Below are 17119 nucleotides of genomic sequence, written 5' to 3'. Positions count from 1 at the left end.
CAATCCCAGTGTTCATATCCAGTGTACCAACCACTGAGGGCAGCTGTCCTGGAATCTCTCTCTCATCTCTGCCCATAATTAACTGCTTCTGGGCACAGTGCATGAGTTACATAGATGAGTGTGGGTAAGTTTGCCCTTTCTGTGGGGGGAGCATCCTTTTGGTCCACTCTCAGGAGGGCATCCTATGTTATTTTTGTGATATTTTCCTAAGAGTTGTATAAGCAAGTGCATCAAGCCAACTTGTCTACCCCAGCTCCCTCTTGAGACCAGCAGAAACTATTTATCAACTGGCAGTTTACGTAACCTCTCTGGGCCTCAATTTCCTCATATAAAATGAGGATAATAAATCGTATCTGCTCATAGAGTTGCTGTGGGGAGTAAAGAGTTCAAATGTATCTGTCAGTGAAGGAAAAAAGAAAAAAAAACAAAAACAAAGAGTTCAAATATATCTAGCGTTCAAACAGAACCAGGTATGCAGCCAGTGCCCAATAGGTGTATGAGTTTCCTATGGCCAATGTAACAAATGACCACAAACTTAGTGGCTTAAAACAACACACATTTATTATTTTACAGTTCTGGAGGTCAGAAGTCTAAGATGATGCCAGGCTTGGTGGCTCAAGCCTGTAATCCCAGCACTTTGGGAGGCTGAGGTGGCAGGATCACTTGAGGTCAGGAGTTCCAGACTAGCCTAGCCAACATGGTGAAACCCCATCTCTACTAAAAATACAAAAATTAGTCAGGCACGGTCACGAGCACCTGTAATCCCAACTACTCAGGAGGCTGAGGCAGGAGAATTGCTTGAACCCAGGAGGTGGAGGTTGCAGTGAGCCGAGGTTGCAGTGAGCCGAGGTTGCACCACTGCACTCCAGCCTGGGCAACAGAACGCGACCCTGTTTCCAAGAAAAAAAAAAAAGTCCGGGATGAGTTTTACTGGGCTGAGATCAGTGTAGACAAGGCTGCACTCTCTCTGGAGGCTCTAGGGCAGAATCTGTTTCCTTGTCTTTTCCAGCTTCTAGAGGTTGCCTGCATTCCTTGGCTTGTGGCCCCTTCCTCCGTGTTCAAAGCCATTGGTGTAACATCTTCAGGTCTCTGTGACTCCGATCCTTGCTTCCATCTTATAAGGATCCTTGTGATTTCATTGTACCCATCCAGATATCCCAGGAGAATCTTTCCATCCCAAGATCCATAACTTAAATCCCATCTGCAAAGTCCCTTTTGCCATGTGTGGTAATATATTCACAGCTTGCAGAGATCAGGACATGGGCATCTTTGGGAAACGGGAAGGGGGCATTATTTGACCTAACATCAAGAGCATGAGATGTTTTTGTAAAATGAAACAAATGTTGCAGCTTCCTAATGCAGCTTCTTAGGCCCACCTGCAGGCCCCCTTGACGTTGGTTTTTCTCTACCTAGGTCTGTTGTGTCGGGTCTGGACTCCCCTGCCAAGACTAGCTCCATGGAAAAGAAACTTCTCATCAAAAGCAAAGAGCTACAAGACTCTCAGGACAAGTGTCACAAGGTATTTATTTCCGCAGCCGGCCTCCTTCCTTGCTCCAGGATCCTCCCGTCCGTATATGCCAAGGGATCCGCCCGGGGCCGCTGCTGGCTCTGAGCCGCCTGATCCGTAGAGAGTGAGGCGCTCCTGCCTTCGCTGAAGTCGCGCCTCCAGCAGCTCAGAGGGAGATGAATTCGGGCCTTGCTGTTGCTGTAAATCCTTTAAATCTAAACCAGAGGAGGCCCTGGATTTAAACAGTCCGTTTCTCAGCATGACCCAGCCAGATGTCTGCTTCTTCCGGCAGGTGGCCTGGGTCCTCACCTGTGGCTGAGATACATCCCATCTGCTTTGAGTGATGCGAAGTCTCTCTTCCTAGTCTTTTAAAACTCCTGCTTATGTCACTGCGGCCACTGTGTTGATTACGCTCAACGTCTCTTAACATTCACTGTTCCTGCCCAGAGGCAACGCTCTGGAAACTAATAAGTCACTGCTTGCCTGGGACTCCTAAGAGTGCAGACGAATAAATATCTCCTTGCCCTGTCCTGGATTTGTCCTCTAGATCTTTGCAAGGAGATGGGGGGGGATCAAGATGGATTTGGGATAAAATTAAAGTGACGTCTGCAAAAACAAAACAAAAACAAAAGCAAACAGGTGAAAAATGATGATTGTGGCTTCCTTGCTAACTGGGTTAGAGAAGTGATCAAGTGTGAACCGGGACTTGAATGAGAGGAGTGACTTAGCATTTGGTGACTGTCCTTAACGAAGAACTGTGCGCTCCTGGGCGAAGAAACAATGGTATTTCCATCCCAACTTAACTTTTGGCGAATTAGCCTTAGCCCAGACCACCAGGTGGTTTCGGAGGCTACTTGAGATGTGATTGCTCCTAATGAACCTCCACGGGCCTTTTTAACCTGTCGATGTGTTTATTTCAGATGGAGCAGGAAATGACCCGGTTACATCGGAGAGTGTCAGAGGTGGAGGCTGTGCTTAGTCAGAAGGAGGTGGAGCTGAAGGCCTCTGAGACTCAGAGATCCCTCCTGGAGCAGGACCTTGCTACCTACATCACAGAATGCAGTGTGAGCCTTCCCTGAAGCCCCCTTCCCTTGGAGGTGGCACTTCCTGTTGTGTGTGTCTCATCCTGTTTCATGATGGCTCCATGAGGCACATCACAGCCAATGGCAGAGAGTAGAGAGAGGGAGAGCACAAAAGCAAGATCTGTGTTTTGCAGAGTAGTGAGAGCCAGGCGTAAGGTCCCCAAGAAATGAGATTGGACTCATTTCCAGCAGAAAGTGCAGGTAGACGGCTGGTACCATGGAGTCTGGAGATGGGAGTAATCCATCTTTGCCGCAAGTTGCAAAAGATCTTAACATCTCCCATCCCAGCCTCTGTGGTCTGCGTTGTGTCTGACATGAGCAGCCTTGAGAACCAGACTCCCAACTATGTACAAGAAAACTTACTTTCAATCTTCCTGACATCAAATTTTCCATTGGCCAGAACCAGTGTAGTGACAAGAAAATAGCCTTGAAAACCCAGACCCTCTGTCATTATTTACCATGTGACTTTCATTTTTTCTTTCCTTCACAAGAGTAGACTGTCTTCTTCTCCATTGTCTTGTTAAATTTTTCATTCAGGTGTTTTTTAATGTGCCCAATTAAACAGTCTCAAGAAGTTGAATCACACATTTCTAAAGTTTTTTTCACAAGGGAGAGGAAATCTATAGAACGTGGCTGATTAAGAATAACTGCTATGTTTCCATTCCAGACTTGGCTGCCTTTCAGTGGTGGGTGAAGTTATTCAGCTATGTATTTCAGATATAGATTTCAGTGCCATTGAAGCATTAAGGGATTCTTATGGATGAAAGGTGTCCAGGAAAAATAAGCCAGGAGGTAGAAATAGACCACTTGGAGTCTTAAATGACAACTGGGCAGAGGATATGAAGTCATTGCTACTTTGAAAGAGGCATATGTACTTTAGGGCCCACAAATAACTGTAGAAAACACTTTGTAGCTATCCACATGGTGGCTGTAATAGCTACTGGGTCTTAATAGGTTTTAGTCCTGAACATGCAAGTAAGTATCTCCTAGGACAGGTAGATGGTGGCAGGAGACAGGCTGATGCAGTTTCCGGCTGGATCCCTAAGGTCACCAGGTTGAGATGATGTTTCTTGAACCAAGGGGTTTTACAGGATGGAAACCGGAGTCGGCAACCAACTGGAAGTTGTGAACTGTGGTCCGTCACTCGAAACTGTCCTGGTGTCTGCGAAGCAGCTTGCAGCTCTCTTAATGAGTCTTTTCAAACAAAGCAGGATCCACAGGGCATCCCTATTAAAATTTTTGCTTTCTGCAGAGCTTAAAGCGAAGTTTGGAGCAAGCACGGATGGAGGTGTCCCAGGAGGATGACAAAGCACTGCAGCTTCTCCATGATATCAGAGAGCAGAGCCGGAAGCTCCAAGAAATCAAAGAGCAGGTAGGCCTGCTTGCCTGGGAGCACAGCAGCATCTCGGCTTGCTTGGACCTCTAATTTCAGGAGAGGCGTGTTTGAGAGAGAAATAGGAAGAAAGGGAGAGAGAGAAAGGGTGGGGGCAGAGTGGAAGAGAGACAGGTATGTAGGTCATTCAGAAACTTCAGATTTCTCATAATTTATATACATCATAGAATGCTTGTTCCAGCTCCTTTTGAAGCTGATACCCCATAATGTCTGCTTTTAAAAATAAAGATGTAGGTTTAGAGCAAGAGTGGGCAGACTTCAGCCTGTGGGGCAAAGCTGGTCCAACACCTATTTTCTATGGCCCACAAGCTAAGAATGGGGTTACGTTTTTAAACAGTTGGAAAAAAAATCAAAAGTAAAACAATATTTCATGACATTTGAAATTTATATGAAATTCAAATTTCAGTCTCCATAAATAAAGTGTTTTTTTTTTGGAACACAGCCATGCTTGGTAATTTGCATATCGGCCCTGGCTGCTTTCAGGCTACAGAGTCAGAGGTGAGTGGTTGTTACAGAGACCATGTGGCCTGCAAAGCTGAAACTACTTACTATCTGGCTTCTTACAGCAAAAGTTTGCCAATCCCTGCTTTAGATGGTTAAAAACAATTAAATGTTTTAATAGCTTCTCAGATGCACTTTTAAGTTTTTGAGTGAAGCCAGGCTAATTCATAGTTTTACTTACATAAAGAAATATTCTAGAAGAGAAATTTGAACCATTCTGGTCAAGGTCAAGTCAGGATTAACACTGCCTATCTGAGTGCAGAAGGCTGTCCCCTGTGTTTTCAGAAAGGAGAATCGAGACCTTTAAAAAGCCCACTCTTTTTTTTCTTTCTAAACGGGTTTTCTTTCTAAATGGCTCATTTTTGTATTGCCTCATTGTTTCCTTTTTAGCATGGATTTTTGTGTCTTTTGAAAAACTGTAAATAGAGACTTTAATGAAGAGATGGCAATGAGCAATTGGAGAGCTGAACTATCAGCTGCCAGGCAACTCTCATTCACTTCAGAAAATCTAATGGAAACACTGATAGAAATGAACATTTCTGTCTCTGGGTAGCACAAACTTAGCCATCTGGCTGGAGCTAATGCAAGAAACTTCTGCAAATAACTCTATCCATTAATTACTCTTTAAAAAAAGAATTACTGTCTTTGGAGTTTTGTTGGCATATTTATCATCTGAATATTTTAAAGTTGTGATCAGTTAATATTCTGTTGCTTGATAAAAACATTATAAATAAACGTGCATAGGACGGAAACCCTGTAAAGGATCATCAGATCTCTGAATAATGCAGTCTTAGAGGTTTTGAAGGCTGCACATTGGCTTTGAGAAATCTGCTTTGACAGTTGACTCATGCTCCTTTTATCAACATAGTTTTTCATCCTAAAAGTTTCAAGAGGTAGGAATCATTTTCTCCCATTAGTTCAACATACCTGGAAATTTACTTTTGGTGACATCCTGGGGAAATGAAAGCTGTGTTTGGCCACCAGAGGGAGCAGCTGGTGTCCATAGATTCCTTAGAAACGGAATTATCAGGACGTTTTGAAAAGGTGTATGTTGGTGGCCGAGTTCAAAGACACGTCTTTTATGATTCATACCACAGTTGGCATGCATGTGGAGTCTTAGATTTAATGACTGCTAAAAGTTCCATTGTGGGGAAGAAACGTGGTTTCAGATTTGATTTTTCATCGGAACAAGGATTTATTTTATGACTTTTGGTAAGTTTTGTGAGAGCAGGATGTTTGCAGACTGGGAGAAAGCTTTTAATGCTTGCAGCAAACTTTCAGTATTTAGTTTGTGGCATATTGATTTTTTCTAGACTTGGGATTTATTCCCTGATCTTTCTCTTAAAAATCTAACTTTCTATATCGCTCTTTATTTTTTTGAGATGGAGTCTCGCTCTGTCACCCAGGCTGGAGTGCAGTGGTGCAGTTTCGGCTCACTGCAGCCTCCACCTCCTGGGTTCAAGTGATTCTCCTGCCTCAGCCTCCTGAGTAGCTGGGACTACAGGTGCACGCCGCCACACCCAGCTAATTTTTGTGTTTTTAGTAGAGATGGGGTTTCACCATGTTTGTCAGGCTGGTCTCGAACTCCTGACCTCCTGATCTGCCCGCCTTGGCCTCCCAAAGTGCTGAGATTACAGGCATGAGCCACTGCACCTGGCCGGCTCTTCATTTTTTTAAAAAATATTTTACTTCCACCTAGCTACCCCCTCTAGAATATTTAGATTTGGTTTAAAAGAAAAACACCTCAAAGACTCATGTGAAATTTGATTCCTAGATCATTACTAGCAATTTCAGCTTCTTCCTTGCTCCCCTACTCAGGAAAGGAGACAAAAGTGTGGGTAACACAAAAGTCACTTGTGTTCCATGGTTTCTGAGTGAATTGCATCATACCTGATCCTTCCTCCCCACAAAATTCTGAAGCTCCATTCAGAAGACTTGCGTTAGGTGGGCCTTGAAACCTGTCTGCAGTTCCCCATCCTGACCTGACTCACACCTACCAGTCTTTCATTCCATCCTGAGATACCACAGCTCTCTCTCAGCTGATCTTGCAAACAGACCTGATGATCACCTCTCAGGTTTTTCCTGAAGCAGGGATTTGGTTAGCTGCTAGATTTATAGGATTTCCTTGAAGTATCCTGCACAATATCAAAGGATCCACAAATGAGTTAGAATTTTCTTTTGATGCTTGTAGGAGACTGGGTGCCCCGAGAGCTTGGAGAGCTGACAGAGTGGTTGCCTGATTCCTGCCTTCCTCCCTCTTATGTGCTGACAGCTCAGGGAAGAGAGATGTTGGGGGGAAGGAACAGACACTCTGTCCTTGCTCTTGACAAAACACAAAAATTACATTCCCTTCTCGCCGACATAAATTCAAGAAAGAAAAGTGAGCTTGAGGACAAAAGATGCTCAAGATTTGGTGTCCATGCCTGTAGCCAGGACTGGCTTTCCCATTAGCTCTAGCAGGCACGGTATCTAGGGACCACTTTACTTTTAGGGTCTCACAAAATGTTTTAATTTTTTCATCAGAAGAAAAAAGTTGGGCTTAGGTCAAAGACACTGTTTTCATAGATGATGTTAATATTTTTGTATTTATAGGAGCACAACTGTAAAATGTAATTTTTAATTTTAATTTTTATGGAGGAAGGCAAGACAGGCTCAGTGCTCACAGTTATGAAAGCCATAATATGGCTCTGCTTGAGGGGGTCCAGAAAAACCGATATTCCATTTCACATACAGCTCATGTTCTGGCCTGTGAATTAATTAATTAATTAATTAATTTGAGATAGAGTCTTGCTCTGTCACCCAGGCTGGAGGGCAGTGGTGTAATCTCAGCTCACTGCAACCTCTGCCTCCCAGGTTCAAGCAGTTCTCCTGTCTCAGCCTTCCAAGTAGCTGGGATTACAGGTGCTCACCACCATGTCTGGCTAATTTTTGTATATTTTGTAGAGATGGGGTTTCACTATGTTGGCCAGGCTGGTCTTGAACTCCTAACCTCAAGTGATCCGCCACCTCGGGCTCCCAAAGTGCTGGGATTACAGGCGTGAACCACCATGCCCGGCCTGCCCTGTGAGTTTAGATAATTGTGAGCAGGTTATAAAGATCTTTGGTTATATAATCCAGCATTGCCTGCTTAGTATGCATGACCCAGGAAACCTGTGTGCCCCATGATTCTGAGGATTGACCTTCAATAACAGTATGCTTTTGGGTGGGAGAGAGTGAAATGAGACCCGTGTTCCATTTTGGGCTGTTTTTTCCTTTCTCCTTTACAGATAATAGAGGGAGAGGTGTGCTTGCATGGAAACCATCCAATTTTCATAAGAGCAGCACATCCCCTTTAATATGCTCTGGGGGGGGGGCGTCACCTGCTACAATGGGATAAAAGGTTTCCTTTATACCCTGTTATTCAAAAATTGCAATTTATCAGTTAAAAGAATATCCTTGCTCAGTCGATTATTTCTTGGGAGAAATATTCAAATATTCCTCACCAATTATTTCTTGGGAGAGTGGATCTCAGAGATGTTACTGAATATTGTGATTTTTAAAGACATTCTTGATTCAATTCCTTGTTCATTTCGTTTTGTATCTCTCTCGTCCTCACCCCACAAGTCACCTTGGATTACATAAATGCTCATTCATAATCCTTATACTTAGCCTTGATTTTTGCTAACACAGAATATTTTTATACTTTGTCCAAAAGTTTTCAAAATCACTGGCCATTTCTTTTGGTGAGCCCAGTTCTGAGAAACTTCAATGTAAATGTTTTGATTTTAGAAATGCATTTTGGAAAAGGTTGGGCTGTTTGGATCACTTAAAGGGTTTGCTCAAGGGAACAGGAAGGTTCTTTCCTTGGAATTTTTCTCACAAGTTATTTTGACCGAAGCCAGTGTTTTGTGACTCTTCCAGATTTCAGGGTGACTTGCATTGCAGGAGTGATGTTACGGTCATCATTCAGTTTTGAGCCCAGAAAAATTAATGGTGAGAAACTGACATGATGAGTTTCACCTTCCAGAATTCTTTCCACTGAGATTTTCAATTACCCTCTTGTGCTGTCTGAAAGGTTAATTTTAAAACTAGTACCATATCCAATTTGTGTTAGGAGCACATGACTTCTAAAGGACAAGTCTATATAAATGATTACCCTTGGCGGAAAACTACATGTAAGCAGTTTATCCTTGTTGTTTAAAGAACATCCCTTTTGGCTCTCCTGTGTTAGGCCTTAAGGTTCTGTGCATTTCGTATGGTGTGATTTGCATGTGTGTTCCCGGTGGTTTTGCTAATGACATATGCTCTACATTAAAAGTGTTTTTTTTTGTTTTTTTTTGTTTTTTTGAGACGGAGTCTTGCTCTGTCACCCAGGCTGGAGTGCAGTGGCGCGATCTCGGCTCACTGCAACCTCCGCCTCCCGGGTCCAAGCGATTCTTCTGCCTCAGCCTCCTGACTAGCTGGGATTACAGGCGTCCACCACCACACCTGGCTAATTTTTGTGTTTTTAGTAGAGACGGGATTTCACCATGTTGGCCATGCTGGTCTCGAATTCCTGACCTTGTGATCCGCCTGCCTCAGCCTCCCAAAGTTCTGGGATTACAGGCATGAGCCACAACACCCGGCCAAAACAGTTTTAAGGTTTAATATTTTTTTCTCCCTCATCTTCACCCTACACTTCTCACCTTTGCCTACTTGGTGCCTCATTCTGGGTCCATCTTTCTACTCCCCTCGTCTCTAGGTCTGTAGGTTGTTTTTTTTTGAGACGGAGTCTTGCCCTGTCACCCAGGCTGGAGTGCAGTGGCGCGATCTCGGCTCACTGCAACCTCTGCCTCCTGGGTTCAAGCGATTCTCCTGCCTCAGCCTCCCAAGTAGCTGGGACTATAGGCCCGCACCACCACACCCAGCTAATTTTTGTATTTTTAGCAGAGACAGTGTTTCACCATGTTGGCCAGGATGGTCTTGAACTCCTGACGTCAGGTGATCCACCTGCCTTGGCCTCCCAAAGTGCTGGGATTACAGGCGTGAGCCACTGCACCTGGCCAGGTCTTTTCTTTGCCAGTCTCTCTTCACTGTGCATCTTCCCTGTGTGGTTAATACTCTTCCATCCTCACTGCCTGTCTATTCTTTTCGGAGTTCGAAAGTTCTCTTTTATTTCATTGCCTGCTCTTTAGGAGTACCAGGCTCAAGTGGAAGAAATGAGGTTGATGATGAATCAGTTGGAAGAGGATCTTGTCTCAGCAAGAAGACGGAGTGATCTCTACGAATCTGAGCTGAGAGAGTCTCGGCTTGCTGCTGAAGAATTCAAGCGGAAAGCGACAGAATGTCAGCATAAACTGTTGAAGGTAGTCAGCCACCCTCCAGGAGGGTGCTTTTTGGGTAAAATTGTACATGATCTTAGCAAGAAAAAGGAGAACCTAGTTTAATGAGAAACAACCTAGTTTGAGAAATAGTAGGATACCTTGGAAAACTCTTGGTCTTTATTTACAGAAGATAACATTATTCTTATTTACTATTATTATCTTGGTCACAGAGACCAAGAAAGTAGTCTACACGACTTTTTTAGGTTGTTGAGATTTCCCAATATGTTGTGTCTTTTTAATTACAGGCTAAGGATCAAGGGAAGCCTGAAGTGGGAGAATATGCGAAACTGGAGAAGGTATACTTTCCATGATTGGTTTTGCTATTAATATTTTGGGTAGATAACTTTTTTCATGTTATTATCAGTGGCCCATCATTGATGAAGAGTATTCTTCATCAATGAATAGAGACCTCTCTTCGAGGCTTATTTTGATAGTCCACCTTTGGGTGACCACATATGACTTTATGGCTCTAAAAGAGGTAAAAGACAGCTCATTTTTGTCACACCTGCCCACAGCAACAAACCCAGACACTTAGTAAAAAGTATAGGAAAATTGTTATTGTTTTAAAGGACTGAGCGACTTTCTCTTTTTGCCATTTGTATGTTGCTGGTCCTACATGCATCATCAACATGGAGCTTTGCACTGGGACAAAGTCTTCCCTGAGAGGCCACTGTTCTTCCTCTCCCTTAATAGGTTCTGGAAACCCAAAGAAAAAGACCCCATAGAAACCTCAAGAGAATAGGACTGCAATAAATGTAGCAAGATGTTAATGCTGATTTGCCTTTTGCTTTATTTCCTGGGATTTTAATTATAGATCAATGCTGAGCAGCAGCTCAAAATTCAGGAGCTCCAAGAGAAACTGGAGAAGGTAAGCCCAAGGTGATTTTTCAGGAACTTACCCCCCACCACCTCCTTTCCAAACATCTTTGCCTTGTCCCAGAGCACGAAAGATGAAAGAAACAGAATTAGTCACCCAGCGCTGAGGAAAATGAAGGGGGAGTGAGCGATTACCTGAAAATATCAGAGTTCTGAATATAGTTTTTCCTTTTGAGACATGTCAGCAGTGTTTATTTTTAAAAACCAAGCTGTGTGAGACTCTCAAGTAAAAGTTCTAATTATACTACGACAGAACCCAAGAGGCCTGCATCTCTCGCCTCAGGGGGCCTGGCACCTCATTTATGCACATTTGTAAGAGAAGTAGTTCCCCACCCAAACTGCTTTCTGCCAGCAGGAGGCCTGCCCTGCAGAAGGCTGGAGGAGCCATGGGGTTGTCACGTGATTGGGAAGGGGCGTGGATTTGGTTTATAGCATCCTGCAAAGTTTGTGCTAATGGCCCTTTTATTTCATTGTTTAATTATTTAATTAAAAAAAATTTTTTTTTGAGATGGAGTCTTGCTCTGTTGTCCAGGCTGGAGTGCAGTGGTGTGATCTTGGCTCACTGCAACCTCCGCCTCCTGGGTTGAAGCGATTCTCTTGCCTCAGCCCCCTGAATAGCTGGGATTACAGGCATGTGCCACCACGCCTGGCTAATTTTTGTATTTTTAATAGACACGGGGTTTCACCATGTTGGTCAGGCTGGTCTCGAACTCCTGACCTCAGGTGATCTGCATGCCTAGGCCTCCCAAAGTGCTGGGATTACAGGCATGAGCCACTGCGCCTGGCCAACTTATTTAACTTTTTTGAGACAGGGTCTCACTCTGTCACCCAGGCTGGAGTGCAGGGCATGATCATGGCTCACTGCAGCCTTGACTTCACACGCTCAGGTGATCCTCCCACCTCCGCCTCCTGGGTAGCTGGGACTACAGGTGTGCACCACTACACCCAGCTGATTTTCTGTATTTTCTGTAGAGATAGGATTTTGCCATGTTGCCCAGGCTGGTCTCAAACACCTGGACTCAAGTGAACCACCTGCCATTGCTTCCCAAGATGCTGGGATTACAGGCATGAGCCACTGTACCTGACCATTTTATCTTGTTTTTAAAATTTTTATTAATTTTTTCCCTAGCTTCATTAAGGTATAATTGGCAAATAATAATTGCATGTACTTATAGTATGCAATGTGATGTATACACACACACACACACACACACACACATATACATTGTGAAATGATTAAGTCAAGCCAGCTAACAGATCTATCACCTCACATTCTTCTTATATTTTTTGTGGTGAGAACATTTAAGAGCAATTTTCAAGCCCTTTCTTTAGTTGAACACTGGAAATGCTTAATGGAAGGGCCAGAATGAATGTGGTTGTGGGACGTACCTTTGGCATTGAGAATGTTTGTGAATGTGTTTGCTGGCTTGGTTTAATAGAGTTCCTCCTCCTCCTCCTTCTTCTTTTTTAAAATTGTGGTAAAAAAAAAAACCACATAACATTAAATTACCATCTTAACCATTTTTAAGTGTACAGTTCAGTTGTGCTAAGTTTATTCCCATTACTGGGCAATGAATCTCTGGAACGTTTTTGTCTTGTTACACTGAAACTCTATAACCACCAAATACGAATTCCTCTCATCCCCCTACCTTTCTACTTTCTGTTTCTATGATTTTGACTACTTTATATACCTCATAAACTGGAATCATACAGTGTTTGTCCTTTTGTGACTGGCTTCTTTCATTTAGCGTAATGTCCTAAAGTTGCATTCATGTTGCATGTATCAGAATTTCCTTCCTTCTTAAGGTGGAATCATATTCCTTTTTATAGACATACTGCATATTGCTTATCCACTATTTGCTCCCTGCTTCCTTATTCTTGAGCTCTCTAATGAAAGCTCTCATGGCCCTCTTTAGCCAAAAGCTTGTGAGAGGACACGTGTCTCCATCTAGAACTCTGCTCTCCAATCAAAGTGTGAGGGAGCCACAAATATTACTTACAGATGTAATTTAAAATTTTCTAGTAGCCACATTTAAAAACAGCAAACACAGGCCGGGCATGGTGGCTCACGCCTGTAATCCCAGCACTTTGGGAGGCTGAGGCGAACTCCTGAGGTCAGGAGTTCGAGACCAGCCTGACCAACATGGTGAAACCCTGTCTTTACTAAAAATACAAAATTAGCTGGATGTGGTGGCGCATGCCTGTAATCCTAGCTACTCGGGAGGCTGAGGCAGGAGAATCACTTGAACCTCCGGAGGTGGAGGTTGCAGTGAGCTGAGATTGCGCCATTGCACTCCAGCCTGGGCAAGAAGAGCAAAACTCCGTCTCAAAAAAAAAGCAAAACAGGTGAAGTCATTTGAATGATATGTTTGTTTTAACCCAGTATATCTCAATATTTCCCATAGGAAAATTAACAAATGAGATAATTAAAATAAGGAGAAAATTAATGCTTAGAGGCAAATACATTGATACCTGGGTAGATCAATCCATTTAGATCTTTCTATTTCCATTCATTACGTTGCATCGAATCGAAGATGCTAATGATGGTCAGATACACCATTATCTTATATACCCCAAGAAAGAAAAATGCATCAATTTTAATTGTGGGGTGGATTTCAAATTCAGTGATGTTAAAAAAAGTGCACCTTAGAATAATGAAATATAGAATTAAATGATTGTGTATTTGTTTTGACAAATGGTAAATTCAGTATTACCTGCTTTTTAAATTTAGGACACTGTCACTATCTTTTTTTTTTTTTTTTTAGATTATACTTTAAGTTCTGGGATACATGTGCAGAACATACTGTCACCATCTTTTTATATGAATAAATTTGCCCACCTATCTCCTTTTCCTTCTCTCTTCCTAGGCTGTAAAAGCCAGCACGGAGGCCACCGAGCTGCTGCAGAATATCCGCCAGGCAAAGGAGCGAGCCGAGAGGGAGCTGGAGAAGCTGCAGAACCGAGAGGATTCTTCTGAAGGCATCAGAAAGAAGCTGGTGGAAGCTGAGGTGAGCAGGGAACCTCCAGCCCAGGCCCCAGCGGCCTCGGCCTTTGGCTGTGCCCAAGGAAAGAAACTGCCAGACCATCACTTGCTTATGTTTGACCAAAGCTGCTTTCCCTTCTGAAGATCCCTTTGAAACCTGAGAGGCTGGGAATCATTTCCCCCCAGGGGAAAGAAAGATTTGTCATAGCAGCTTCAAGTAGAAAGATGTCTTCATAGAAGTTTTTTCTTTCTGTTTATTTTCCTCTGACCTACCCACTAATCTGGGAGAATTTTGATTTTTATAGGTAAACCGAAGCTCCATCACTGGTTTTTTCTTTCTCTTCCCTCTGTTTTTTCCTTGCCTTTCCCCTCCACGATATTAATAGCATATTAATTTTCAAGGCTTCACCTATTACCTGCGCGTCAATGACTCTCAGATCTATATTTTTGGGCCTCTTGTCTACTTCAAATTCTTTGTTGTTGTTGTTGTTGAAATCATTTGTATAATTTTACCAGAACCACATGAGTGCCTTTTCGTAAAAAACTTAAAACAGTACAGAAGAATATAGGATAAAAAGCGATTCTTCTCCTTTACTCGTATCTGCCTCCTCTGCCCCTTGGTGTTTGTCCCACAGAAGGGGCGTGCCGTAGTTGATTTCACCCTCCTCCTATTGCTGGGTCTTTTGCTTTTTCCTGTCACATTCTTGGTGTGAACCTCCTGGTACATGTCTCTTTTGGGCCATCCTCACCCACATTCATCTGCATTTCCCCCAGCTCCCCTAAATTCCAACTGAGTGCCTGAATGGTGCATCAGATTTAGAATGAGCTCAGTCTCTTCCCTGGCAAGCTGGTTTCCCTTCTCACTTTCCTCATGCCAGGCAGGGCCACCATCATTCATCTCGTCATTCCAGGCTTGAAACTTTGGTGTCATTTCGTTTTCTCTGGACCCCGCTATTCAGTGAGTCCCTCCATCCTATAAATGCAGCCATACGTCTCCTGTTCATCTCCTGCTTCCCATTTCTGTAGCCCTCCTTGTAGTCCAAGCCCTTTCCTCTTGGCTGAGAAAATCTAATAATTTCTTGGCCATCTGCCTCCAGCTTCTCCTTCCTTCCAGCTAGTTCACACAGTGAAAGATTCATGGACCTCAAGGACCAGATTTCTCAGAATTCCCTGCCCCATCCCAAACCTTTCAGGGGTTCCATAATGCTCAGGTGCACCCCTGAGCCTGGTACCTGAAACCCTCAACCTTTGACCTTTCTGCTTTTCACCTGCCCTTCCCCTTAACATGTGCTGTGCTGTAGCCATTCCAGGCTTCTCTTGGGGCCCAGACTGGCTCTTGACTACTGCTGTGTTTCTGCTAGTGTGTCTCCTTTTGTCTGAAACATCTTCCCCCTCCTCTCCTGTCCTTCCTCCTGCAAAACACCATATACCACCCCCCTCCAGAGCTCACGCCTCTCTGATGTCTCTGCTCAACTGTCCAATTAAAAGTCCTCTTTCCTGCCTGCAACCTCCTGCAGCACTTTGTACCTCTTTGCTTTATGGTTCTTCCTCCTCTTAACCTATATTATGATTATTTGTGTTTATCTTATCTCCTCCAAGGGCAGGAATGATGCCATCTTCCTCTGTATTTTCCGTGATGCCTAGGTGGCACTTTGCAGATAGTAGGTGCTTGGTAAATATTTGAATGAATGAATGCACTCTTGTAACCTACACAACTGAGTACCTAGATTATAGAATCTTATTTTCTCTGCTGTTGCTTCGGGTGCCTGAGACTTTTCTTCCTGACTCGAGTGTATGCTTCTTGAGGGCTCTTTCCCTCGGTGCAGGTGTTATGCCCATAGCGGTTACTCCATTAAAACTCTCTGATTGATTCATGATCTACAGGAACGCCGCCATTCTCTGGAGAACAAGGTAAAGAGACTAGAGACCATGGAGCGTAGAGAAAACAGACTGAAGGATGACATCCAGACAAAATCCCAACAGATCCAGCAGATGGCTGATAAAATTCTGGTGAGCAGGAATGAAAGTCGCAAAGTTAAAAGATAACAGGTTAGAGTTTGCAAAGGGAAGGGGGTAAGAAGAAGAATTAACCGCCACAATAAGGGAGGTATCTCCAAGTAGATGAATTGAGTGAGGTGGTTTCAGCATATGCCACATCGTAGAGTAGTATGAATAACCAAATAACGGACATTTCAGCACTGGTAACAGATCCGTAAATATCGTTTTTTGCTCTGTTTGCTACAGCCTGGCTTTTTTTTTTTTTTTAGTGGAACGTGCATCTATCATTTTCAATACATTTTTAAAGGCGTGTTGACATACTTCTATCAGCAGAGCTTTGGATAGCTGTCAACTTCGCATTGCCAATTTAAAAAGCTGTAGGGGTTTAGACCTTTAAGACCGAAATTCAGATTCTTGCTTTTAGAGAAGAAAGCAATTAGTCATACAGAATTGTTTTGCTAGGAGTAGTATTTGTCATAGATCCATGTTCACCCACTCACTTTCTCTGCTACAGTTGGTTATTATTATTATTATTTTTTCAATTTCCTTAGATATAGCAGGTCTTTTTTTAGGGTCTGTAGTCATCCTGATTCTGTCTCAGGCTCTGATCACCAAATTAACTTGATCAAGGAAGGTTCGGGTGGTATTTGCAGATGTGTTGACGTTTTGCCCCTGCCAGGGTGGAAGACAGCACCTTTGAAGGGCTCTCCTTGGACCTCAGTCCCACAGCCAGAAATTTGACATCATGTTTGAGACTCAAGGATGACTTGGAGTCCATTCCTATCCCACCTGGGAGAGAGTCTCTGAAGTCATTGGTCATTCCTCTCCACCCTAAGGAGGCAAGGTCGTGAGCAGGGCACTTCATCTCTCTCTCTTCACATCACTTCTGGGAAATGAGTCACCAGCAACTATTGGAATTCCATAGTGGCCAACTTATAGGTCTATACTTAATACCAAATCAAACTGTTTACAACTTTACATTTCTGTTTGTGTGTATTTATAAATATATGGATGTTCTCGAATCAACAGGTAAAAGAAAAATGGGTTAAATTGTTTTGCTAAGACACCCAGTCTTTGTATATATGTCTGCACACAAAGACAAATGTGACTGTTAGTCTACCCTTTCTGTTCTCTTGTTCCGTCATCAAAGTTTCTCTTGGCTATTGTCAAGTGTTTGAATTTTATCATGAGTATAAAATTAGATCCCACTGAGATCCCACCGCTGCTGTCCCTTGCTTGGTATAAACGGAGTGGTTAACTCTCTTGTGGTTGCAAAGTGTTTCTCTGTTTAATGGTGATGTGTTCATTCATTCATTCAACAAATATTTAATGAGCTTCTACTATGTGCCAGGCACTGTTCTAGGAGCTGGAAATTTAGCAGCAAACAACAGTATTTGCATAACAGGACTGAAGAGTTGATCCAATATATCTAGAAAA

At 43.2% G+C, this 17119-nt stretch overlaps 1 protein-coding gene across 15 annotated transcripts in view, besides 1 other annotated feature; it reads left to right on the top strand.

Annotated features, from left to right (window-relative positions):
- CIT (citron rho-interacting serine/threonine kinase) overlaps positions 1 to 17119 on the top strand; it is a 191530-nt gene that overhangs the window by 90842 nt on the left and 83569 nt on the right. For 10 of the 15 annotated variants that reach the window (XM_017018737.2, XM_006719206.3, XM_017018736.2 and 7 more), the window contains 8 exons: positions 1414 to 1519; positions 2428 to 2571; positions 3842 to 3961; positions 9637 to 9807; positions 10071 to 10121; positions 10640 to 10693; positions 13569 to 13709; positions 15569 to 15694. In XM_017018737.2, coding sequence (XP_016874226.1) covers positions 1414 to 1519; positions 2428 to 2571; positions 3842 to 3961; positions 9637 to 9807; positions 10071 to 10121; positions 10640 to 10693; positions 13569 to 13709; positions 15569 to 15694 — 913 coding nt within the window. Of the gene's footprint in view, positions 1 to 1413; positions 1520 to 1633; positions 2291 to 2427; positions 2572 to 3841; positions 3962 to 9636; positions 9808 to 10070; positions 10122 to 10639; positions 10694 to 13568; positions 13710 to 15568; positions 15695 to 17119 lie in introns of those variants that run through there. The other 5 variants (XM_011537788.2, XM_011537787.2, XM_047428134.1 and 2 more) reach the window with 2 other exon arrangements.
- Positions 10643 to 11244: an enhancer, noted in NCBI's record as "NANOG hESC enhancer chr12:120213039-120213640 (GRCh37/hg19 assembly coordinates)". NCBI's record gives its function as "activates a minimal SCP1, AML or CMV promoter by ChIP-STARR-seq in naive H9 embryonic stem cells {active_cell/tissue: H9 hESC(naive)}" and the evidence as "EXISTENCE:reporter gene assay evidence [ECO:0000049][PMID:30033119]".

Source organism: Homo sapiens, chromosome 12 (genome assembly GCF_000001405.40).
Source record: "Homo sapiens chromosome 12, GRCh38.p14 Primary Assembly".
Lineage (NCBI taxonomy): Eukaryota > Metazoa > Chordata > Mammalia > Primates > Hominidae > Homo > Homo sapiens.
This window is presented reverse-complemented; position numbering and strand designations above follow the sequence as displayed.